Source organism: Homo sapiens, chromosome 7 (assembly GCF_000001405.40).
Source record: "Homo sapiens chromosome 7, GRCh38.p14 Primary Assembly".
Taxonomy (NCBI): domain Eukaryota; kingdom Metazoa; phylum Chordata; class Mammalia; order Primates; family Hominidae; genus Homo; species Homo sapiens.
In genome coordinates, this window is record NC_000007.14 from 4093275 (window position 1) to 4117429 (window position 24155).

General features: G+C 51.8%; 1 protein-coding gene across 5 annotated transcripts in view, besides 4 other annotated features; it reads left to right on the forward strand.

Moving 5' to 3' along the window:
* The window catches only part of SDK1 (sidekick cell adhesion molecule 1), a 967749-nt gene that overhangs the window by 792023 nt on the left and 151571 nt on the right, over window positions 1-24155 (forward strand). For all 5 annotated transcript variants that reach the window (NM_152744.4, XM_047420038.1, XM_047420037.1 and 2 more), the window contains 3 exons: window positions 17389-17498; window positions 20015-20165; window positions 20763-21000. In NM_152744.4, coding sequence (NP_689957.3) covers window positions 17389-17498; window positions 20015-20165; window positions 20763-21000 — 499 coding nt within the window. The remainder of the gene's footprint in view (window positions 1-17388; window positions 17499-20014; window positions 20166-20762; window positions 21001-24155) is intronic.
* Window positions 9497-9997: an enhancer, noted in NCBI's record as "H3K4me1 hESC enhancer chr7:4142403-4142903 (GRCh37/hg19 assembly coordinates)". NCBI's record gives its function as "activates a minimal SCP1, AML or CMV promoter by ChIP-STARR-seq in primed H9 embryonic stem cells {active_cell/tissue: H9 hESC(primed)}" and the evidence as "EXISTENCE:reporter gene assay evidence [ECO:0000049][PMID:30033119]".
* Window positions 12946-13528: an enhancer, noted in NCBI's record as "H3K27ac-H3K4me1 hESC enhancer chr7:4145852-4146434 (GRCh37/hg19 assembly coordinates)". NCBI's record gives its function as "activates a minimal SCP1, AML or CMV promoter by ChIP-STARR-seq in primed H9 embryonic stem cells {active_cell/tissue: H9 hESC(primed)}" and the evidence as "EXISTENCE:reporter gene assay evidence [ECO:0000049][PMID:30033119]".
* Window positions 14111-14692: an enhancer, noted in NCBI's record as "H3K27ac-H3K4me1 hESC enhancer chr7:4147017-4147598 (GRCh37/hg19 assembly coordinates)". NCBI's record gives its function as "activates a minimal SCP1, AML or CMV promoter by ChIP-STARR-seq in naive H9 embryonic stem cells {active_cell/tissue: H9 hESC(naive)}" and the evidence as "EXISTENCE:reporter gene assay evidence [ECO:0000049][PMID:30033119]".
* Window positions 15861-16362: an enhancer, noted in NCBI's record as "H3K4me1 hESC enhancer chr7:4148767-4149268 (GRCh37/hg19 assembly coordinates)". NCBI's record gives its function as "activates a minimal SCP1, AML or CMV promoter by ChIP-STARR-seq in naive H9 embryonic stem cells {active_cell/tissue: H9 hESC(naive)}" and the evidence as "EXISTENCE:reporter gene assay evidence [ECO:0000049][PMID:30033119]".

Genomic DNA, 24155 nt, shown 5'->3' on the forward strand with positions numbered 1-24155 from the left:
CTGTTTGTCTGCTCAGTTACCTCTGTAAACCCCTGCCATTCGCAGCCATTTGCTGTGCTCTAATAGCCAAAATAACGTCTAGTCTTCTCAAAAGCCTGCCCTGAGCAGAGTTTTCCATAATGAAGATGCTAGTGGTAACACTTTAGGTACAGCTAAAACTGTTTTCATTCTGAAAATGGAAAGCAAAAAAAAAAAAAAAAAAAAAAAAAGTCCCACTTAGTGCTTATTTGTGCATAATAGTAGCCATTTTCTTAGAAGAAACTGTTTTAGAAAGTGTTATGGGCTAATAAAGCACAAGTCTGTTTAGTGCTGGTCTCTCTGTAACTAAAGAGTAGTGGAGATGGAGCAGCCGGGCGCCCAGGCGTCCCCAGGACGCTTAGAGACGCCGAGGCTGCCGGCGGCGTCGACAGCGACAGCGTTTGGAATGACGCATGCCTCGGTGAAGTCGGGGGCGTGAAGCAACACTGTCTCTCTCCTAAGCACACGCTGTGCCGAGGGACCGGATCCTGGGCTGATGGATGGGAGGCCACGGGCTGTGTTTCATTTTGCTGTTTGCTGAGGCACTCACCTGCGAGGACACCTTGCAGGATGTATGGGGCTTTCTGTTTCTCTAGCACGTCCTTGGTCCAAAGCCTCTTGCGATACACCTCTCCCAGAGGTGAATCCTGGGGAAAATGTCGTCTCAGCAGATGAGTGTATCTGCTTTCCCTAGTCAGAAGTTGAAGCCCATACAATCCGGGGGCAGTCCCCTTTTTGCCTAAACGGCCAGGGTGGTTTTTTTTGTGTTTTTTGCTTTTTTTGAGACGGACTCTCATTCCGTTGCCCAGGCTGGAGTGCAGTGATGTGATCTCAGCTCACTGCAACCTCCGCCTTGTAGGTTCAAGCGATTCTCCTGCCTCAGCCTCCCGAGTAGAGTGGCTGGGATTACAGGCACCTGCCACCACACCCAGCTAATTTTTGTATTTGTAGTAGAGAGGGGGTTTTGCCATGTTGTCCAGGCTGGTCTCAAACTCCTGACCTCAAATGATCCACCCACCTCGGCCTCCCAAAGTGCTGGTATTATAGGTGTGAGCCACCGCGCCCGGCCCAGCCGGGGGTTTGAAAGCCAAATGGATTGCCCTGGAATTCCGGGGTGGGATTGCCCTTCCACAGAACTTGCTTCTGCTCTACTCACCCCTCCAATCCCCATGTGCTGACATTCGCTGTGGTCCAGTGCTGTGCTAGGCACAGGGGCCTCTGAGGAAAGTACAAGGAGAACCTGCCTTCAGTGAGTAGGAAAGAGAGACTCAGGAAAGAAGCAAGATACCAAGACCTCATGGCAGGTGGCCATGCCTCAGAGGGAGAAGCAAAGGACCGGGACCTCAGAGGAGGTTTCCTTTATTGTTATCAAACCGGACTTGTGGACCTCCCTGGCACAGCAAAGCCAAACCATTGACATCGGGATTGCAGCGAGAGAAAGTGAGGTGTGTCTTTCAGGGCACCAGGCCAGGAGAATCGGGTCACTCAAGCCTAAGACCTGACCTCTCCTATGGCTTACAGTAAGGATCCATAAAGGCAGAGAGGCAGAGGCTTCAGGCAGAGTCAAGCATCAGGACACGGAGGTGACACATTGGTTTTACCTAAAAGGACATCTTAAAGCAGGAACCCACAGGTTATAGGTAAATTCAAAGATTTTCTGATCTGTGATCGGTTAAGGAGGTGAAGCTTTGTCGAAACATTTTGGATCAGCAGAAAAGAACGTTAGCTCTGGCCTGAGGGTGTGACTTCCTCCAGGCTCCTTAGGAAGAAATTTAGAACAAACAGCAGAGGTCAGAGTTCCATCCTCAGCTCCTCCATATCTGAGGTCTTCCTCACCTCCCCCACATCTGAGCTCTTCCTCAGCTCCCCCACATCTGAGCTCTTCCTCAGCTCCCCCACATCTGAGCTCTTCCTCAGCTCCCCCACATCTGAGCTCTTCCTCAGCTCCCCCACATCTGAGCTCTTCCTCAGCTCCCCCATATCTGAGGTCTTCCTCAGCTCCCCCACATCTGAGCTCTTCCTCAGCTCCCCCATATCTGAGCTCTTCCTCAGCTCCCCCACACCTGAGGTCTATGTGTAGCGGACCTGCATAGCCAACCCATTTGGTGGGAGTCCGGGTTTCTGAAAAACAACTCAGGGACATATGGTAAGATGTCACTTTAGTTTCTATTGGGAACCAAGCATCTCCTGACTCTGGCTTCCTTGGCTATTGTTTTCAGCTACTTTCACCTTCTTGTTTGTCAAGTTGCTCCTTTATTTATTTATTTTTAATTTTTATTTATTTATTTATTTTTTTCCGAGACGGAGTCTCGCTCTGTCTCACAGGCTGGAGTGCAGTGGCGCGATCTCAGCTCACTGCAACCTCCACCTCCTGGGTTCAAGCGATTCTGCTGCCTCAGCCTCCCAAGTAGCTGGGATTGCAGGCACTCGCCACCACACCTGGCTAATTTTTTGTATTTTTAGTAGAGATGGGGTTTCGCCGTGTGGGCCAGGCTGGTCTCGAACTTTTGACCTCAGGTGATCTGCCCGCTTCGGCCTCCCAAAGTGCTGGCATTACAGGTGTGAGCCACCACGCCCAGCCTCGCTCATTTACTTCTCAGGGCTAGCTAGGTGCCTGGAATTTCCCTTGAAGGAACTCAAGATTTTTCTTTATTTCCATGTTTGGGGGCCCACCAGTCCCTAAGAGGGGTTCCTGCTCCATCTCATTATGAGGATCTTCCTTGGAAAATAGGCAGTGTGGACATGTGGGTAGAAACCTGTCCTGAAATGTAGCTGTAAAGCGTCCACTTTCCTGTGCATGTCTTCTCTGTGATTTGCTTTCCTCTCTTCAAAAGTCCACAGTGTTTATAAGCACATCAGGCAATGTCAAGGCTTAGAAATCCCAGAGTCTCCTGGAATAAGACACTCAGATCCCCTCACTCTACCTTTACTGCTGCCAGCATTCCGTCTGGAACCAGGCCTGGCTGTGGCAGGGCAGAGCCAGCTCTGGGACCTGCATGGATTTGTGTGGCCACAGGCAAGGCCAGGGGAAGGTGAAGTTATTACCTGGTAAAACCAGCAGAAGAGAGGAACTTTAGGCACCTTAGCAACGAGCCACCCTCCCGGCAATGGTTGTTAGGGGTGTGGGGGATGGTCACTGAGAGCTGGCTGGTTGGCAGAGGATGGAGAACAGAGGCTAGGGGCCAACTATACCGGGATGGGTCGTGGGACCTCTGTAAGCCTCAGTTTCTTCATCATAAAATTCAGAGACCAGAAGTTCATTTAACGCTTTAGCATGGGACTAGCACATATTAGACATTTAATAAATGGAAGTTCCTAATAATAAAAATAATGAAGTTAAGGCAAGTGTTTAGCATCCAAGAAGGCTGCTTGAGACACTGTGACCTTCAGAGGAAAGACCTCCTTCCCCAGAGGGAGGCCTGTGGAGTGTGCAGGGCCCTGTCCTAGAAAATACCTGGGAAACCAAGCAGAGGCCAGCAGGGCAGGTTCAGGCAAGATGAGCGCCACATAGGAGCTGAGATTCAGGGGCCGGGGACACTGAAACCCCCACGGGGGTCGCTGTGGTCAGAGAACCCAGGTCTGCGAAGTCCCCAGTGACTGTAAGGATCTGTAGCCCAGGAAGAGGCAGCCTGGGCTCAAACACCCACAGTGGCAGTGGAGAGTCAGGCTGGAGCTACTCACAGTGCACTCGAGCAGAATCACAAACTCGCACAGCTTGAAAATGGCAAATGCAGCAGTCCCCAGCTCTTTTTCCCGGTAGAAACTGACTTTAGGAACAGCAAGGAGGCTTCTCACCCAGCACACTGGTTCCCAGGCTTCACCCAGCTGGGCAGAGGGTCAGGAGCAGCCCATCTCTGCAGAGGCATTGGCCTGTTCCTGCCCCACCCCACCTCGCAGCAAACAAAGATGGCAAGACGGCCTGGGCCGACTCTGGGTGAGGGGCTCACCTGGGTCAGGAAGCAGACAGCTCCTGTACGGCCAGGGGCTCTCAGGTTGCTGTGTTTGGTACAGTAACGTCCTGTATTTATTTTTTATGTGGTTACCATCTTTGTCCTCCCAGGAACACAAGCTCAGTGAGAGCAGGGACTTTGTCTGAGCAGTGCCGCATCTCCCCTTGGCACCCAGAACAGGGCCTGCTGCATAGAAGGAAGGCGTCATGCCAGGAAGCGCCTGTGAGCAGGTGGACAGGGCATCGCACACATGCCATCCGGGACAGACATAGCCCCAGACAGATATATTGGGCCGCCCAAGGCCCAATAAAGTTTCCAACCTTGATTGACTTCACTGTCCACCTGGCCACCTGTTACCTCTGTAGGGAGAAATTCTAGTGTGCCCGTCTCCTGCAGGTTCATAAGCCAAATGCTTTTATCTCATCACTTCAAGATCTGGGGCTGGGGATTTCTCATCACTACTTCTGTCTCCTCCTTCCCTCCTTATGGAAGGACGTGAGACCTGTCTGTGGCCCTTTGGATAAGTATCTGTCAGCATTTCGGTCATAATAAACCCTGACTGTAGTTGAATTTCTTTTTCATAATAGGAGGAACAAGAGTGACATTATCTCTGAATAGTCATTCGCACATGCACAGGAGAGCTGTCATTGGCCCTAATGACTCCTTCCATAATCCCACGGTCATCTGGTAAATTTGCCGAAACGGGCCTCATTTTTTGTTCTGGTGTAATGTCTCTGCCTAAGCGTTTAGGTGCTGGGGAGACAGGTGACAATGACATACATACTCAGAAATCTCAGAATGTTTCTTGGTTGCTCGACTGTCCATAATAACACCCTCACAGTGGCTTTTCTCTCTTATTTCTCAACCAGCATACAAAATCTATATGAGATGAATGGTGGAAAAGGGGCCTTTTTGTTCATTCATCTGTCAGATCCGTTGAGGTCCTATTATGGGACCTTTAAAACTACCACAGGAGAGGAAAATACTGCCGCATACGTGACAACTCAAGTGGGACCAAAGGAAGTGTTTTACCACAAATGTCATTTTCGAAAAATAGAGGTCAACGTATATATAAATCACAACCGTCAAACCAAATTAAATTTTATGAGACTCATATTTCCCCGTTCTTTCCGAGGACCATTCCCTGCTCCGATTCCTTCATCCTAATTCTCTTGTTGGATTTTTTTAGATTTGCCTGTGTGTTTCATTTTTCCAGCCATTAGGTTTTATATTTCTTTCCTTCATTCGCCCATTCACCCAGCAGACACTTATTAAGCACCTACTGTTTTATAGATTTTATTGTTCCAGGTATCGTGCTACAGATTAGATTACTAAGGTCAAAACCTTTTAGTTTCTCCCTCCGAGAATTCACAATTTTCAGGAGGAGGGATGTGAGAGGGAGGATGGAAATGTACTCGGTTTTTTCTTTTTTTTGTTTTGAGATAGGGTCTCGCTCTGTCACCCAGGCTGGAGTGCAGTGGCACAATCTTGGCTCACTGCAGCCTCAACCTCCCAAGCTCAAGCAATTCTCCCACCTCAGCCTCCCGAGTAGCTGGGATTACAGGAGCACACCACAATGCCCTTTTTTTTTTTTTTTTTTTTTTTTTTTTGGCAGAGATGGGGTCTCCCTATGTGGCCCTGGCTGGTCTCAAATTCCTGAGCTCAAGCGATCCTCCTGCCCCAGCCTCCCAAAGTGCTGGGATTACAGGTGTGAGCTACTGTGCCCGGCCACAAATGTAGTCTAAATTTTGGTACACATGAGAGTCGTGAGAATTGTTGTAATGATCTATGGCCAGGGGAGTATGTGAAAGCAAATGAGTGAGCAGGGTCAGCCAGGAAGGCTCTGCAGAGGAGGTGAGACTCAGGTTGGACCTTGAAGGGGACACAGTCTTTCGATGGGAGGGAAGACATTCCAGGCACAGAGAAGAGAGGAATGAAAGGCTCAGGGTTAGAAAGTTGCACAGCACCTGTCGTTTTAAAGTATAGATCTTATTTTTATTCGGGAACGGTGATGCCAACAGATCGAGAGACAAATGGCATTGGAAAGACAGTTTGTTGCTGACAGATCCCAAGGGGAGGGGGCAGGGAATGCCACACAGGGCCATGTGCAGAAGCACCGGGTGGGTCAGGAGGCAGAGGAGGAGGGGACTGTGGCAGGAGCCTCTGCTGTGGCTTCTGAGGGAAGGGCCGGGCCAGGCAAGGTTAGGACTGCCTGGTGTCACAGTCTCAGCGGGCTCCGGGGCTGGGGGCTGTTCCTGCTGTCAGATGCCCAGCCCCAGTGACAGGACAGAGGCATGAAGCCCTGAGTGTGAGCGCTCACAGAGGATGAGGTGGGACTGGGCTCTAGGTACAAAAGGTACTACCTCCAGGTGAGCTGCTTGCTGTCTCTGGGAACTGGCTCACCCTGGGAGGGCCATCTCTCCAGGGCCAGCCAGGCCCAGGTGTGCCAGGTCCAGTGGAAGTGGTGGCTAATGCACCGTGGGCAGGGCCAAGCAGGCACAGAGTGGGGCGTGTGTGAGCGGGATGTGATGGGAGATGGCCCAAGGGGAGCCGCAGCTGGTGGGAAAGGCCATGCTTGGGGGCTGGCTTGTTTTTATCTAAAAGCACCCCTAAGAAACCGTGGCTGCTGGTCACCGAGCTCGCTGGCATGTGCCGGAGTGTCCGGGGCTGACCTCGTCCCACTGGGGGCTCTTGACAGCCCTTTAGGGTGACCACTGTGGTCCTCGCTATGTGGACAGGAAGTCTCAGGAGCTCAGTGTCTCTCGAACGTAGGCCCAGCCAGGCCTCATGCCCCAGAGATTTTGGCCGAGGAGCCACTGCTGCTCTCCTCACGCCCCTTCCTGGGCAACGGAGCAGAAGTCCTCACCAGCGTTTCAGGAATTTAGAAATATTAGCAGGGAATCACCCAACATGTGGCACAGGGAGTGTCAACGTCCCTGTTTCCCCTTGAGAGGGATCAGATCTGATGGGAGGGAGGGACAGATGCGGATGGGGAGGTTGCAGGACTCAGCTCAGACACGGCCCTGGGCTCCTAGGGCAGGGGCCATGGGGGGCAGACATGGCCTCCAGGAGAAGGGCTTTATGAAGGAGCTGGTTCCTTCAGGGCATGGGGTTGAGCGGGAAGGCTGTTTCGGGGGACACACTTGGGAGATGTGAACAAACTGGCCAGAATGCAGAGAGCACAGGGGGAGCTAAGGCAGGCACCAGGCGCTGTGGACTGAGCGTGCCCCCAATTCCTGTGCTGAAATCCTCACCCCCAAGGCGAGGGTGTCAGCAGGCCTTTAGGAGGGGATGGGGTCATGGGGTGGAGCCCTCACCAATGCGATGAGTGCCCCTCTCCTTCCACCACGTGAGGACACAGGGGCATTTGGCCATCCCCAGCCTGGAAGGGAGTCCTCACCAGGACCCACCCAGGCTGACCCCCTGGTCCCTTCAGTCCCAGCGCTGTGAGGAAATGAACTCCCATTGCTTGTAAACCACCCAGTCTGTGGAGTGTCATCACAGTCGCCTAGTGGGGAAGGTGGTGTAGGAGGGCACCAGGCACCCCTGGGCCTGGAGAGGGAGGCTGGACCGCTCGGCACAGCAAGAGCCGTGAATTGGAGTCGGGTGAGATGGATGAGCTGGGGGCCTGTGGGTTAACAAGGACCCCAGACTCATCTGCCCCTCCTTCCCTGTGGCTGTGAGCCCCAAGGTCCACAACACCCTGAGGCCTGCCCCAGGCTGAACCCTGCAGGGTGCGTGACGGGGGAAGGGAGGCCTATGCGGAGGTGCACACAGGGGTCTCCTTTAGGCCAGTGCTCTCCGCACTGGTTGCCAGAGAGGCCGCCTTGCCTGGGCCCCGAAAACCAACAGCTGGGCAGCCCTGACCCTTTGGTTTGTTTGTTTTAAGGTAGCAAGGACACTTGCATTTTTTTTTTTTTTTTTGAGACGGAGTCTCGCTCTGTCACCCAGGCTGGAGTGCAGTGGTGCGATCTCGGCAAGCTCCGCCTCCCGGGTTCACACCATTCTCCTGCCTCAGCCTCCTGAATAGCTGGGACTACAGGTGCCCGCCACCACACCACGCCCGGCTAATTTTTTGTGTTTTTAGTAGAGACGGGAGTTTCACCGTGTTAGCCAGGATGGTCTCGATCTCCTGACCTCATGATCCACCCGCCTTGGCCTCCCAAAGTGCTGGGATTACAGGCGTGAGCCACCGCACCCGGCGGAAAAATTTGCATTTTTTAAAACTCACCGATCTGTCAAAATAGTTCAAGCAAGAGGTTGGGAGCTTCTACATCAGGGTCCTACCACTGAAATCAAGCAAATGTAAGAGAGGCTGTGGAGGAGACCCCACCATGTGCAGCAGGGGAGGGGTGACAGAAGGAGCACTGACCCTCGATGACAGAGGACGATGGTGTCGTGACCAGAAATAGAGCCTTCCACAGGCGGAGCCCGTCTTGGGAGGAAGATCGCGGTTCTGGGGTGAGGCTGTCACATGTGAGCTGCTGGACCCCAGAAGCGTCTGCCTGTGGTCGGTAGGAAGGAGGTCCCGCACCCAGGTCTCTGTCTCCTTGTGGAGGGACAGGAAGGGCCCTAGGAAGGAAGCCATGCAAGAGAGAAGAAAGAGGAGGCAAGGACACACTCAGGAGGGTCAGAGAAAGGGCCAGATGGGGAGTGGAGGGAGATCGAGAGAGCCAGCACCCCAGGAACCCAAGCATGGAGCTCAGGATCAGGGAACAAAGCCCATCACTCCACAGCCCTTCTGCCTCTGAAGATCCAAAGAATATTAAACAGGAAAGACAAAACAAACGACAACCCGGAAAGACAGAAGTCCCCAGGGAAGGGCTGGGAATCTAGAGCTGGGCTGATTCAAAGCCTGAAGCTTCCTTGGGAGTGAAGATAAACGCAGCACAGCGTCGAGTCCCCTGCCGGCTTATGAGGTGTGCAAACTCTGCGATTTGTTTGAGGGAACTGGCCTCTGGGCCTTCCTGGTTTCCTGTGCCTTTACCAGAAGCCCCCATCTGTCCCTCCCTCTGCAGGGGCCCTCCAGCCACCTCCTCTCAGGAGGTTTCATTTGGCTGTGGTGGGCACGGGGAGGAGCCGTCAGAAGCAGGGGTACTCAGTGTCTGTGGAAGTTGCTAGACGTGCAAGTTTTCCTGCTGACACCAGAGTTTCAGCCAGGCAGGGTGCGCTTGGCTTGGCAGCTTTCCATGGAAGGGGTTCTGGAGCATCTTTTTCTCCTCCTCTTAGCTCTGGATGGAGGGGGGCCACCTCCTCACGTCCCTCCTCCCTTCCCCACACGCAGCTGCACCTTGTCTGCTTCCTCTCCATGTGCAGAATTACCTTTGGGATGAGGTTAATGACTCTCCTCTGAGCAGCCATTGACCCTGGCCTCCGGAGTGCTGAGCTCACCATGGCCACCAGAGCCTCCCAGCAGGGGTGTTCCTGGTCCTGCCCTGCCCACCAGTTTCCACCAGTTTTTCCAGAGGCCGGATCTCATGTGCACAAACAGACCAAGCCTCCTGGCCCACTGGCGCCAAACCCCGGCCAGACCTGGGAGTGGGCAAGCTGGGGCTGCGTGGCGGGCGGCAGCATCCCCGTGGGTATAACAGACAGACAGCTCCCCTAATGGGCCTGAAGGACCGCCCCTACCGGGTGGCATTTGAAATAGATGCCATTTCTGCCTTTGTCCGAAATATCATAAAGTACTGTTTATTAGCCTTAAAAAAAGTTAAAAAAAAAAAAAAAAAAAAAAGCCGTTCAAAATCCCGGCTTCCCCACAGAGCTTTTTTTTTTGGAGACAGAGTCTCACTCTGTCACCCAGGCTGGAGTGTAGTGGTGCGATCTCGGCTCACTGCAAGCTCCGCCTGCCGGGCTCACGCCATTCTCCTGCCTCAGCCTCCAGAGTAGCTGGGACTACAGGCGCCCGCCACCACGTCCAGAGAATTTTTTGTATTTTTAGTGGAGACTGGGTTTCACCATGTTAGCCAGGATGGTCTCAATCTCCTGACCTTGTGATCCACCTTCTTCGGCCTCCCAAAGTGCTGGGATTACAGGCGTGAGCCACCGCGCCCGGCCCCCCACAGAGCTTTGATTTGTTTTATCTTTAAAGAATTCTGCCTCCCTCTACATCAGCACATTGTTAGTGAGCACCCAGTTGCTTCTAGAACATTCTTTCTTGGCCTTGAAATCTAACTAGAGAGCCAGAGGAGCCCAGCCAGGGTTAAAGAACTCCTGTCTCTCACGAAAAAAGAGTCCTGGTCTCTCCAGACAAAAATGTAAACCTTTTATTATAGAAATTTCAGTTTCTCCCCTAGAGGTCGCTAAGTGTAGTTACATTTTTGGTGATCATCTGTTTTGGAGCTCCGTGTAAAGCAACCCATTTTCAGTACTGATTTTTAAATCATTCGCATGTTCATTTGTAAATTCGTTAATGCATTAAACACCAAGTTGAGGCTGGACCCTGGGAGAGATGCTGGAGGTGCAGGGATGCGTGAGACCCTGACCTTGCCTCAGGGCAAGTCCACAAGCAGCCAGAAGTGATGACACATGTGGTGAGAGGACTCAGCAGCCGAGGAGGAGTCAGTGCCGTGGGGGTGGTGCGCTCCAGCAGGGCTTGCCACACTTTCTGTAAAGGTCCCGATAGTGAATACTTGAGGCTTTCCAGGTCAGACGCTCTCAGTTCCAGCTCCGCAGTTCGGCTGCAAAAGCATGAAAGTGGCCAGCAGCCGCACAAACCAGTGACAGTGGCTGTGTTCCAATAAAACTTTATTTACAAAAACAGGAAGTGGGCCAGATTCGGCCCCTGGGCCGGAGTTTGCTGACTGCAGTACTAGAGCCCTGCTTGTTTGTGTTTGAGACGGGGTCTCCCTCTGTGGCCCATGCTGGAGTGCAGTTGCATAATCACCACTCACTGCAGCCTAGACCCTCAGAGCTCAAGCGATCCTCCTGCCTCAGCCTCCAGAGTAGCTGGGACTACAGGCATGCACCACCACACCTAGCTAGATTTTGTATGTTTTATAGAGAATGGGGTCTCACCACGTTGCCCAGGCTGGTCTCGAAGTCCTGGACTCAAGCAAACCTCCCGCTTTGGCCTCCTACAGTGCTGGGATTATAGGCGTGAGCCACTGAACCTGGCCTAGAGCCTGCTTTAATAAACCTGCTAGGGGCCATCACGTTAAAGAAGGTAATTGTGTTTGACTTACTGTTTGTTGATTTGGCCCAGACTCTGTGAAGTTGGATGCTACCTCATAGAAGATTGTAAGTTGCAAAGCCAGAGGTCACGGTTATATTGCTCTCATAGCTGGTTTTATTTCTAACTTTTTGATCTTATTGAGCATTCTTTCTTTCATTCACTCTACATACTTTGACATATATTCCCCTCCGAACCAGTTTTACCATCTTACTAGTTCCTCATTAATGAGTGAAATAAATCTTTGACACACACTATATATTTGTATGAGAATTTGTATGCATGTATGTATTTATTTATTTATTTTTGAGGCAGGGTCTCACTCTGTCATCCAGGCTGGAGTGCAGTGGTGTGATCATAGCTACTGCAGCCTTGACATCCTGGGCGCTAATGATCCCCCTGCATCAGCCTCCTGAGTAGCTGGAACTATGGGCTGTGCCACCATGCCTGGCTAATTTTTTTTTTAATTATTTTGTAGAGATGGGGTCTCCCTCTGTTGCCCAGGCTGATTTTGAACTCCTGGGCTCAAGAGATCCTCCTGCCATGTCTCCCAGGAGCTGTGTTTTTATTTATTTATTTATTCTTTTGAGATGAAGTCGCACTCTGTCACCCTGGCTGGTGTGGAGAGGCACAATCTCAGCTCACAGCAACCTCCACCTCCCAAGTTCAAGCAATTCTCCTGCCTCAGCCTCCCAAGTAGCTGGGATTACAGGCATGTGCCACCATGCCCAGCTAATTTTTGTATTTTTAGCAGAGACGGGGTTTCACCATGTTAGCCAGGCTGATCTTGAACTCCTGACCTCCGGTGATCCACTTGCCTTGGTCTCCCAAAGTGCTGGGATTACAGGTGTGAGCCACCGCGCCTGGCCAGGAGTTATATTTTTTGTTTTTTGTTTGTTCGTTTGTTTGTTTTAGATGGACCTTCACTCTGTCGCCAGGCTGGAGTGCAGTGGCATGATCTCAGCTCACTGCATCCTCCACCCCCCTGGTTCAAGCGATTCTCCTGCCTCAGCCTCGTGAGTAGCTGGGACTACAGGCACGTGCCACCACACCCAGCCAATTTTTGTATTTTTAGTAGAGATGGGGTTTCACCATGTTGGCCAGGCTGGTCTTGATCTCTTGACCTCGTGATCCACCCACCTCAGCCTCCCAAAGTGCTGGGATTACAGGCGTGAGCCACCACGCCTGGCCTGGGAGTTGTGTTTTTAAATGAATGCTTTGACAGTGATCTGCACTGTGCTGGGGGTACTCTGAAGAGGGTATAGGAGTACAGAATTAGGACATAGATTCTGGCAGCCTGGCAGGGGCAGTGAGAGGCTAAGAGGGATGCTGTTCAGAGGCTTCCGAAAGGCCCGGATGCTCTCCAGATTCCAAAGGAGTCAGCCAGTTGCAGAGAGGAGGGGTGGAAGGAGCAGACACACTCTGAGAGGGGGAAGAGTGGTGCAGGGGGACAGGTGTTGGAGACTGCGTGATGCCTCCAGGTAATGACAAACCGCGGCTGCAGGAGGAAGTGCAGGCAGAGCCTAATGGAGCCATGTGGCACCTGCCTGGGTTCCCCAATCATTTGGCACCTGTTCCAATCGACATCTTTCAAAAAGGGAGACCAGGCACTGGGCGGGAAGGGCAGGGTAGTTTGACCTTGGCTGCCACCTTCAGTGGTCCACCCTTTTCCCAATCCATTGATCCTGGCCCTGAAACTGTTTTATGCTCAGCAAAACAACAGCCCTGTAGATAACCAGACACTCGCTGCTCAGAAGGCAGGTGAGGGGGTCATCTCATGGAGAATGGCCACAGGGCCTAGCAATGGCTCCCTCCTCAGGCTCTCCTGGTGGGAAAGGATGAAGTGAAGTGGAGATCAGCCGCCCCACTGTCCCCCGTTTCTTTTTTTTCTTTCTTTTTTTTTTTTTTGAGACGGAGCCTCATTCTGTCACCCAGCCTGGAGTGCAGTGGCATGATCTCAGCTCACTGTAAGCTCTGCCTCCTGGGTTCATGCCATTCTCCTGCCTCAGCCTCCCAAGTAGCTGGGTCTACAGGCACCCACCACCACGCCTTTTTTGTATTTTTAGGAAAGACAGGGTTTCACCATGTTGGCCAGGATGGTCTCAATCTCCTGACCTTGTGATCCACCCACCTCGACCTCCCAAAGTGCTGGGATTACAGGCGTGAGCCACCGCGCCCGGCCAGCCCCCGTTTGTGACCGTGCAGTGGTTTCCCAGCATCTCTGCAGAGGGAGCCGCACGCCCGGCGTTCTCAGAGAAACCCGATGAGCCTGGCTGCCTCTTGCTGTGCTTTCCCCCACTCTCCTGCTCTCTCAACGCGGCGCGTGCCTTTCTCTCCCGGGCAGCCTCCCGGGCCTTACTGGTTCTCTTTCGTTCCTCTTGGTCGTGGGGGTGGAACAGCCCTGAATCCCAGAGCTACTGCCCTGACCACCGCTGACCCCGCAGCAGCCCCTGTGGCTGAGAGCCTGCCCTGAGTGCCCAGTGCCTGAACAAGATGAGGGAGCCCACAGGGTCAGGAAGCCCCCAGGCCTCAGGTGAATGCTTCTGGGGCCAGGAAAGCAGCCAGACAGACTGAATCCATACATGCCGAGCATCCAGGCCAGAGGAGGGCAGGGAGCTCTAGGCAGAGCCCCCGCCCAGGACCCCAGCGTTCCTCAGTCTTGTTTATTTCTCCCTCAGGCAGCCGAATACACACATCCAGGGTGGGGAGGGTGGGGAGGGTGGGGAGGGTGGGGAGGGTGGGGAGGGTGGGGCTGCAGGGGCCAACCAGAGGAAGGAGACCTGGAGTCGCTTAGCAAAGGTGAATGAGCGTCCGCAGTGCAGCTTGGGGTCTTGAGAGTAAGTTGAACCCGCCAGGCGTCTGTTTCCCCCTCACACATGCACAGACCAGGCAAGGACCCGGAAGGCAGGAGGCTGCCGGGAAAAGCGCCCACCGGTCACTTGGCACCGTGAGCTACGCACGTGAGCCACGTGCGCCCTGACTGCTGGCTCTTTCCTTAGTGCTTATACGTGATTGATAAAAGGTGCTAAATTGACGGCCTGAAATGGAAGTCATCCCTTTTTCTTCCTTTCTTCTTCTTTTTTTTTTAAACAAACAAAACGTATTCTCCATGAAATCGCCCAGTGCTTTGGTTTAACACCCAGAGGACTGGTTTCACTAAGAGGAGCCCACCTAAGTCACCGAGGACTCTGAAACCGCTAAACCATGCCACAGGGCCAGCATTCAACACGGAGGCACTTTGCACCCAGTAAAATCCAACTGAAAAAATGTGGGGCTTGGTCCTCCGCACTCCCCAGTATCTGGTCCCAGCCCGCCTACGACCCCCATCTCCTCCCCTGAGACATTGCCCAGGCAGCCGGGGGCCTCCCACGGAAGCCTGAGCAGCTCGTCTTGCTTGCCCTTCCCTCTGTGCTGTGGTGCGTGTTCTCCATTACCTGGAGGCCTGTAAGGTGTCGTGAGCTGTGCCGATGTGTGACAAACATTTGGTGACCTTGAATGAATCACTCTTTTTCTGGGCCTCAGCTTCTTTCAGCGTAACATAGGCTGGAATAATATCCTCCGGCTTCCTAGCTTATGGGTGGGCCCATTTATGCATCAGCTGCATAGATAAATATCGCACGGCTCCTCTCCACTAGACACTGTGCCGGGGCCAGAGCTTTCAAGCCAACCTGAGTGAGCTCCTCTGAGATCCCCGGATCGTGAAGTTCATTCTCTTTTTGCCCATCAGGATTGGATGGTTCCAGTCTCAGCATTGTGCTCCTGGGTCCTTTCCCTCTTCACAGACGCGATGGAGGAAGGCAGCTGCCATGGGCCCTGATGGGGGATAGGGAGGCCTCAGTCCTGTCTGACTCAAGAGCTAGTCCAACCCCAGGTTCGCCTAGACCCTTCCCTTCTCCAAGATGAGTGTTCTGTGGAACCTTAATCTATCCACATAACTCTTGTTTTCTGTGTCTCTGAAGTGAGGATTTGAGGGTTTCGATGGCTACCCCAGTGCTGAGAACTGGCTCACTTTGGCTGAAGTGAGGATATGAGGGTTTTGATGTCTACCCCAGTGCTGAGAACTGGCTCACTTTGGTGCCAGGGGACTTGCCCCCTTTGCCTCTGGCTGTGCAAGCTGCACAGTCTTTTCCTAATTACACCACCCTGTGGTTTTGCCGACTTCCGGGGTATTCATTATCTACGCTGACCTCCAGCTCGTTCTCTACCAAATATTTTGGCCGGTCATTCTACATTTCATTTTATTGTTTCTTTTTTTCGTTGAGGTGAAATTCACCTCACATAAAATTAACCATTTTAAAGAATACCATTCACAACTTAGTAGATTCCCAGTGCTGTGCAACCACCACATCTGTCTAGTTCCAAAACATTTTTATCATGCCACAAAGAGACCTCATACCCAATAGCAGTCACTTCCCATCCCCTCCTCTCCCCATCCCCTGGCAACCACCAACCTGCGTTCTGTCTCAATGGATGGAAAGATCCTGGACATTTCGTAAACTGGAATCGTGCGGTGCATGGACCTTGGGTCAGGCTTGCTTAGCTTTCCATCAGTCATGTTTTGAGATTTGTCCATGTGGTAGCAGGTGTGGGTGCTTTGTTCCTTTCTATGGCTGAATCCTGTTCCATGGTGCAGAGTCCTTTTGTTTATCCACTCAGTGCTGGGCGTTTGCCTTGTTCACGGCTTTGACTGTCGTGACTAGTGCACTAGGAGCATGTGCCTGCAGGTATCTGTTAAGACACCTGTTGTCTGTTCTCTTGGGTCAGTGGCTGGGGGCGGAGTTGCTGGCTTATGCGGTGACTGTGTGTAGCTTTTGGAGGAGCCACTGACCATGTGGATGTTTTCAGCTGAAAGCGTTGAGAGTTTTGCGCTTTGCCTTTCGAGTTCTCTAGGAAGCAAGCCACCAGCATGCCTGCTTACACAGTCTCCTCTGCATCCGTGTCGCCAGTTTACCAAGGTCATTTTGAATTCTCCTGCCACCCTCCCAAGACTTAGCCACCCACCACCTTGGTTTCCTCTGCACACTTAGTGAGCACGTTTCCTATCCTGTCATTTAAGCCACTTACGAAGTGTTAAATGCACCAGGCCCCAGGCCAATCCCACTCCAGCAGCCAGTTTGTCCTGACATGCTCTCCATGCTTGCAGCCGGCCTTCTCTGTGTCCCTTGGGTCCCCCAGAGCCACACGGCCACACGAAACCAGAGTTTGCTTGTGATGGGGCTGCAGAGATCTCCAAAGATGAGCTCCAGGGCTCTCCTGGTGGGCACAAGGCCGTGGCTGTCTCTCCCGTGGCTCCCTAGCTGGCGCAGCTTGTGTGGCACCATCAAGGGGGAGAGAGGGACGTGGTCAGCTTGGGGCAGTGGCAGTAGAAGCGGCACTGGCACTCGGGTTTCTTAAGAGCACAAGGATGAGTGAGAGGTGGGGCTCGGGGTCAGATTAGGGGAAATGAAAATGCTACTGAGCAGGGAGATGGTGTGGAGCTCCCAGACAGGGAGTAAAATTAGCACGAGACAGACCATGGGGCAGGAGCAAAGACTCGGGAGAGGAAGAAGCTGGGGAACTTGGAGGGCACCCTGCAGGCATCGCCAGCAGACCCGGAAAAGGCAAGTCTCTGTTGAAGGGAGTGGCTCTTCCCTCGTCAACACTGCCAGGAGGCAGTTTCTTTAAATCTTAAGGGGACTGGGCCTGCCGATCTGGCTTCCAGGGCAGAAGACTCATCCTTCCCTGCCTAAGGACCTTCCTTATGCCGTGGGCCAGCAATGGTGTCTGTTTGGTGTGTGTTTGGGGCAGAAAGGGTTGGGGTCGAAGCTGGACCCCCAGCCTGTGCCCACAGCTCTGTCACTGCTTACCATGGTCCTGGCCAAGTCTTCCTCTCTAGGCTTTCTCTGAGCCCTCACTTGTCAAACAGGAGGAAGGATGAGATGGTATGGAAGGTCCCCTCCATCACTGATGGCCTCCAAGCCCTCAGAGGTTTGTTCCCAGGGGTTTCACTGTTTGGGTCCAGTCCTTCTGTGGCCCAGTTCTTGACTGTGAGCTTTTGACTAAAACTCACCCAGACTTGATGGTGGGCATAGCAAGAGCCTGTATCTCCAAGGCACAAGAGGGGGTTGTGCAGGACTCAACTTGTCCCAGGTGTGGGGACGCCTTGCAGCCCTGCCCAGCTCACCAGGTACCAGCAGGTGCACATGGTCTACATGGCAGCCTCAGTCCCTAAGGCATGTCCAGCCCATCTCAGTGTCTCCCTCTGCACAGGTGGGAGCTATCGGCGACGAGGAGGAGTGGGTCACCCTCTATGAAGAGGAGAATGAGCCTGATGCCCAGATGCTGGAGATCCCAAACCTCACACCCTACACTCACTACAGGTGAGAACAGCAGTGATAAGCTGTTACAGGAGGAAACACTGGCAGCCCAGGCAGGTGCCTTCTGTTGGCAATAGTAAAACCCAGTCGTACGTATGCAAATCAGATGTTTCCTAGTGGCAATAACAGTACCTAAAAGCCTTAAGGAGCAGGCGGGATGCATAGCTTGGTGTTATTCCAAGGGAGATGATAGGCAGATGTTAGACTCATGAGGCTCCTTCTATCAGTACCAGCTGGCAAAACACCCCATAGAAATGGCCCACTGTTATTATATTAGGCTGAATAACCAAGAACCACAGGCAGCAGAGATGTGGCACTTTACCAAACTCCACAACCTGTTGGGACTATTAACGTGCCGTGTGCAAACAAAGCAGATGTCCTAGGAAGATCCTTCTGCTCCCCTTCCCAAGCAGGGCCCAGGAGCTGCTAGTCTCACTTATCAAGCAATTAACATGCCATTTAACCTTTAGCTTCTTGAACCCCGAAACTGATCCGGGCAGTAAATCCTTGGCTTTAACAAAGGGTAGGGTGATTATGAGCTGTTAGTACTGTGATCACTTCCCGTAAGGCCTTTGAAGGAGATGGAATTTCCAGTTATCACCAGATGTTGAGTTTGATAATGTCATTGTTCTGCCAGGATGGAACATTTCATACGATTGGAGAATGAAAGAATAGGAATTAGTAATTCAGGGACTAAAAGGTGAAATTACATCTTTATGAAGAATTTTTCTTTCCGGCACAAAACCAAAGTTAGAGTTAAAAAAAAAAAACAATGAGAGATGCTATTTAGCTTCTATTCATTTTAACATCCTTCAGGAGCTTAGAACAGACAAATCAGGACACAATACACTGGGTTTTAAAGAAAAACATTTAGCTTAAAATGAGCTGTTGGGATTCAAGACTTACCATGTGAAATTAACTGAAGCTATATAGTTATTTCAAAGAACAGAAACTGTAAGTAGAGATCAGTGTCCCTGTCTGAAACTCAGGTACATTTGGGGAAACCTCTATAGTAAATGTATATGTGCATACTTGGGATATTTTTCTAGTATGTAAATTGAATTCAAATAATTGTTTATGTATGTGTAAAGAAGAGACAGAACTGAAAGCATTCCTGTAGATTTTAGAGAACATTGAACTCCACCTTCATTTTATAGTTAAGGAAACGGAGATCATCTGATTTGCTGTAAGTCTCACAGTTACTCACTGGATGGAATCACAGAGTGTGGTGTGAGCGGATAGAGGCCTCAGTTACCTGACAAAGTTTATTCTGCCAAGGTTGAGGATGCACCCGTGACCCAGCATCAGGAGATCCTGGCAACATGTGCCCAAGGTGGTCAGGGCACAGCTTGCTTTTATACATTTTAGGGAGACATGAGACATCAATCAATATATGCAAGGTGAACATTGGTTCAGTCTGGAAAGGCAGGAAAGCTTGAAGCAAAGGCAGGAAGACTCCAAGCAGGGAGGGGGCTTGCAGGTCACAGATAGGTGAGAGACAAAGGGTCCCATTCTTCTGAGTTTCTGATGAGCCTTTCCAAAGGAGGCCATCAGATCTGCATTGATCTCAGTGAGCAGAGGGATGACTTTGAAGAGAATGAGAAGCAGGTTTGCCCTAACGCAGCTTGCGTTTTCCTTGTAGCTTAGTGATTTGGGGTTCAAGATATTTTCCTTTCACCCCTCATTCTTCTCCTGAACCAACAGAAGAAGAGATGCAGAGTGCCGTTGATCATTTAAAAGGCTGGACTTCAAAACTGCCCTTTGGTAGTGACATCCTGATATTCCAATTCTGTCCCATAGCTACTTGCACTTTAACCCCTCGAGGTTATCCTAAACTTGAATCAGGGCAACTGATGACATCAATTTCTGGACACCCAATCCATCCAACTAGATTTCACTTGCAAATTTAAAATTGTTGAGTTGCAACTGATGTACCTGTACCTTTCTTTGAAGTCTTTTAGGGGAAAAAGGGCACATATGCAATTTGCATTTTTTTTTTTTCTGAGGCAGAGTCTCGCTCTGTCACCTAGGCTGGAGTGCAGTGACACCATCTCAGCTCATGCAACCTCTGCTTCCCTGGTTCAAGCCATTCTCCTGCATCAGCCTCTTGAGTAGCTGGGATTCCAGGCACCCGCCACCACGCCTGGCTAATTTTTGTATTTTTAGTAGAGACGAGATTTCGCCATGTTGGCCAGGCTGATCTGGAACTCTTCACCTCAGGTGATCCCCCGCTGCCTCCTGCCTCAGCCTCCCTAAGTGCTGGGATTTGATCCCCCGCCACCGCCTGCCTTGGCCTCCCTTAGTGCTAGGATTACAGGTGTGAGCCACCACACCTGGCCACAATTTGCACTTTTAATGAAACCAGGTGAAAAGAGGGTGTCCTTGAGCAATAGCCTTTATGATATGAGTAGACACCTATCTGAGCCCTCCCTTGAGAAACAGTCAGCGCCTTTGTGGTTTCGTTCTTTTCCTTCTTACCTTTGCTTTGCCGTGACTCTCATCAGTGGTTTTTCCTTTAGATTTCGAATGAAGCAAGTGAACATTGTTGGGCCGAGCCCCTACAGTCCGTCTTCCCGGGTCATCCAGACCCTGCAGGCCCCACCCGACGTGGCTCCAACCAGCGTCACGGTCCGTACTGCCAGTGAGACCAGCCTGCGGCTTCGCTGGGTGGTGAGTGGGGGTGAGAAGGGAGGCTGGAGGCACACGGGTCCTGAGTGAGCCAGGGCACACACTAATCCAGGGCTTAGGAGTTTCTTAGTCACGCCTTTGTCCTAGTCAAAACTAATCTCATCGTCAAACCAAAAAGTATTGCATTTTACAATTAGTGTTGGATCTCAGGCCAGCCCAGGAGATCTGATTAATTAGTAGCATTACTCACTCTCTTCTTGGAACTGAGGAATATTCCTTGGGGCAGGAAAGCTGGGGGTGCCTCACACCAGAACTCTAAGTCCTTAAGCTAGGTCAACATGGAACCAATACTCAATATTTGTAAGAGAGCCAGCCTGATATTTAATCAGAACATTTGCCCACAAAATTAAGCCAAAATGTATTAAAAGAAATTATATGCAGCCAAAGTTACTGACAGGGTTTCATTTAATTCACAGAACAAAAGTTTCAGGGAAGAATAAAGTAGATCCTTCTAAGACTATTTCCCCCAGGAACACCTCCTCCACGGAGTTGGCCTCACAGGGCAGGCCCATCCCTTACAACCCGTGAGGGTGGCAGTTCTGAGATGTCAGCTCATCGCGACTCCTCGTTCCTTCCTAGCCCCTGCCGGATTCTCAGTACAACGGGAACCCCGAGTCCGTGGGCTACAGGATTAAGTACTGGCGCTCAGACCTCCAGTCCTCAGCAGTGGCCCAAGTCGTCAGTGACCGGCTGGAGAGAGAATTCACCATCGAGGAGCTGGAGGAGTGGATGGAATACGAGCTGCAGATGCAGGCCTTCAACGCCGTCGGGGCTGGGCCGTGGAGCGAGGTGGTGCGGGGCCGGACGCGGGAGTCAGGTGAGGGGAAGGCGATTCCCATCCTGGAGACACCGCATTAGAGATGGGGCTGAGTGCCCCTGAGCCTCCAGATCCCAGGCTAGTGGCGTCTCATTGGCCTGTCCCACTTGTGTCTGTCTTGGAGCTTTCCTAATCCCGGGTTTGGCCAGACTCGGCAGGAATTTCTGTCTGATTTCATTAGGGCCCCAAGCCATTCATTGGAAACTGGTGATGATTTCCAACAGGGGATCGACTCACATTACTGTTTTCTAAATTAGGGATAATTTTCGCTAACGATGAAAAGCAAGAATGTGTAAAGTTCCTATGGGGAATCTTTAAAATACAAGGTATTCAGGACCTTCTTGTCACAAATTAATAGACGTAGTATGTTAAGTAATCTAGCCTGTGGTAATAAATAGGCCTCTAAAAGTTTAATTGCTTGAACATAATAGGAGTTTACTTCTCACTCATATTGTGGTCTAAGGTGGGCGTTCCTGTTTGGCGGGTGGCTCTCTTCCACAAGGTGATTCAGGGACCCAGGCTTTACCGTTCTGTGGGACTAATCTCCTTCTGCACCCAGCTGCCAGCAGGGAAAAGAAGGCAAAGAATGGACCTCTTCAGACCTGTTCAGGAGTGGAACGTCACTCTGTTCATCTTCTTGGGGCTCAGTCATGGGGCTCTGCCAGTTGCCAGGAAGCAATGGAGCAGTGTTTTTGGCCAACCTTGAGCAGACCTCTGCTGCCCTGTGCTAATGCTGAAAGTGGCTGCCTAATCTTCTGGGCTTTGTGGACTAACTTCCGCTGGCCAACTGTGGGTCATAGGAGCTTTTCTTGCCCCCCTCCTTAAATTTTTAGAAACCCAAAGGAAGGACGGCAATTAACGCTCATGAAGGACTCACTGTCACCTGACCCCGGTCCCTTCAGTCTGATCTGAATTAGTGAGGTTCTGTCTGGAGAAGGAATGAACCAGCTGCACCTCTGCCCCAGGCTTCTTGGATGAGAGTCACAGCTTGTGCTTGACAGATGGAGGGGCTGTTCATTCTGGACTAACCTAGGCTGTTAGAAATACAACTTAAATTCCTGACCTTTGTCCAGACATGGGATGAGGAGGAGGTATGAAGGGTTGAGATGGTGAACTGGGTCAGTGGCCAGAGGAAAAGAACAAGACTCCCCCACTCCTTCCCCCAGGGAGCCTAGATCCATTTTGCTTATTGATGTCAAACCCTCTTATTCGCTCTCTTTTGCTTCTCTTCTCTGACTCTCTGCGTTAATGAGAATATTTGGCTCCATTGTTTTTGCTGTCGTAGACATGGCTCTGTTTCCTGGAGACAGCTCCTGAGCCCAGCATGAGTCCTCCTTTCCTTGGGGCTCCCAGGGCACAGAATCGCTCTTGAAGCTGGGGAGTCAAGAGATGGCCAGGGCCTGCCCACAGCTGTTTCCACCCCAGAGTCCTCGGAAATGCCCCGGATCTGCCCTCTCTGCAACCCAGAGCCTCCCTGCTTCTGTCCCTGTACTACAATGCCGTGCAAAGAGACAGTCCCCCTGTTGTTGTTTTCAGTAGAAAAATTAATTAACTTGCTAGATGCTGGAAACTGCCTTAGGAGACACAGTTGGAACTCAGAGTGACTTTGATGGGAAATGGACAGAAAGATGAGCTAGGAAGCCAAGTGCGTGACGGGTATCAGAGAAAACCTCGCACAGTCAGCAGGAGGAGGCGGATGACGTGGGGGCACAAGGCCTGTTGGCATGGGTGGAGGTGGCTTTGGGGGGCTGCCATCCTCAGGACAGAGGAGTTTAAAAGGGAGGAAAGCATAGACACTTGGGGGGCCCAGGGCTCCCGGGCCTGGCCTGTCTGCTCTAAAGATGAAGAGGGAAACATAGAAGGTGGTGCCGAGGTGGGAGGGCAGCCTCTGAGGACAGCTGGAGTGAGGACGCAGATCAGCTCCCAGCAATAAGGAAAGGGGACTTGGAGCCCTGGGCGGTGCCACCCCCTCACCTCTTCCTAATGCTCATCTTATCCGTGCCAGGTGCTGCAATGGGTGCAGGTATTCCCAACACCACCCCTCCACCCTCGAGACAGCCAGGCCGGGGTGAGGAGTCTGCACCCTGGGCTTGGGTCCAGCAGCGCCCAGCACACCGAGGGCACCAGCACGTGCCCAGTGCATCTGCACGTGCCACCCGCTCTGTGTGCCACAGCGTGGAAGGGCCTGGGAAGCTCTGGATAAAGGCTCCTCTCATCCTTTCTTGCTCATTCCCCGGGTCCCGTTGGTGACAGGTCTGAACCTGCCGCCACCCTTGTAGGTTACTGTAATGCACAGTGGGTTGCAATGCACAGAAGCCCCCTGGGTTTCCTCAATGCTGGTTAACTTTCAGCCACCAGCACCAAGCCAAAGCTCCTGTGCCACTTTGTGGCTTTATTTCTTCCTACTCTTCTCAGAGGGCAGGAGGTGAGGGTAGACAGGAGGACTCTTAAGCAGTAGCAGGGAGAAGCAGAACCATGGCCTTGTGGGAATGCTGTTAGGGCGTGGCGTGAACCCTGGAGCCCACCAATGAGAGCCCCGGAAGAGCAGCCGTGGTGACAACCAGTGTGCTTCTGAGAGGACCAGTGTTTCAGGATGGAACTGCCCAAGCAGCAGGGCTGGGCCCAGTGTCCCTCGGCTCTCCTTCAGACTGAAGCTTTCATTACGTTCCAAAGGAAAGGTGGAGACGCACCCACATGCAGCCTGGGATTGTGGTCACGTGGATTTCAAAAATCTCTGTTATCTTCACTGTCTGAATCTTTGTGACAAAGGAGAGAACTTGAGAAGTTCAGAGGGACAGTTCTAAATCCAGTAAAAGGCAGGCCAAGAAAATAGTTTTTCAGAATTAAAACTTCTGCCATAACCAACAAAAACTTATGGATAAAATATAACTTTCTGGAATCTTAAATGTATTGGCCAGGCAGGGTCCTCACACCTGTAATCCCAGCACTTTGGGAAGCTGAGTCTGGAGGATAGCTTGAGTCCAGGAGTTCAAGACCAGCCTAGGCAACATAGTGAGACCCCATCTCTACAAAAAATACAAAAATTAGCCAGGTGTGGTGGCATGCACCTGTAGCCCCAGCTCCTTGGGAGGCTGAGGCAGGAAGATGGCTTGGGCCTGGGAGTTTGAGGCTGCACTGAGCTATGATCGCACCAC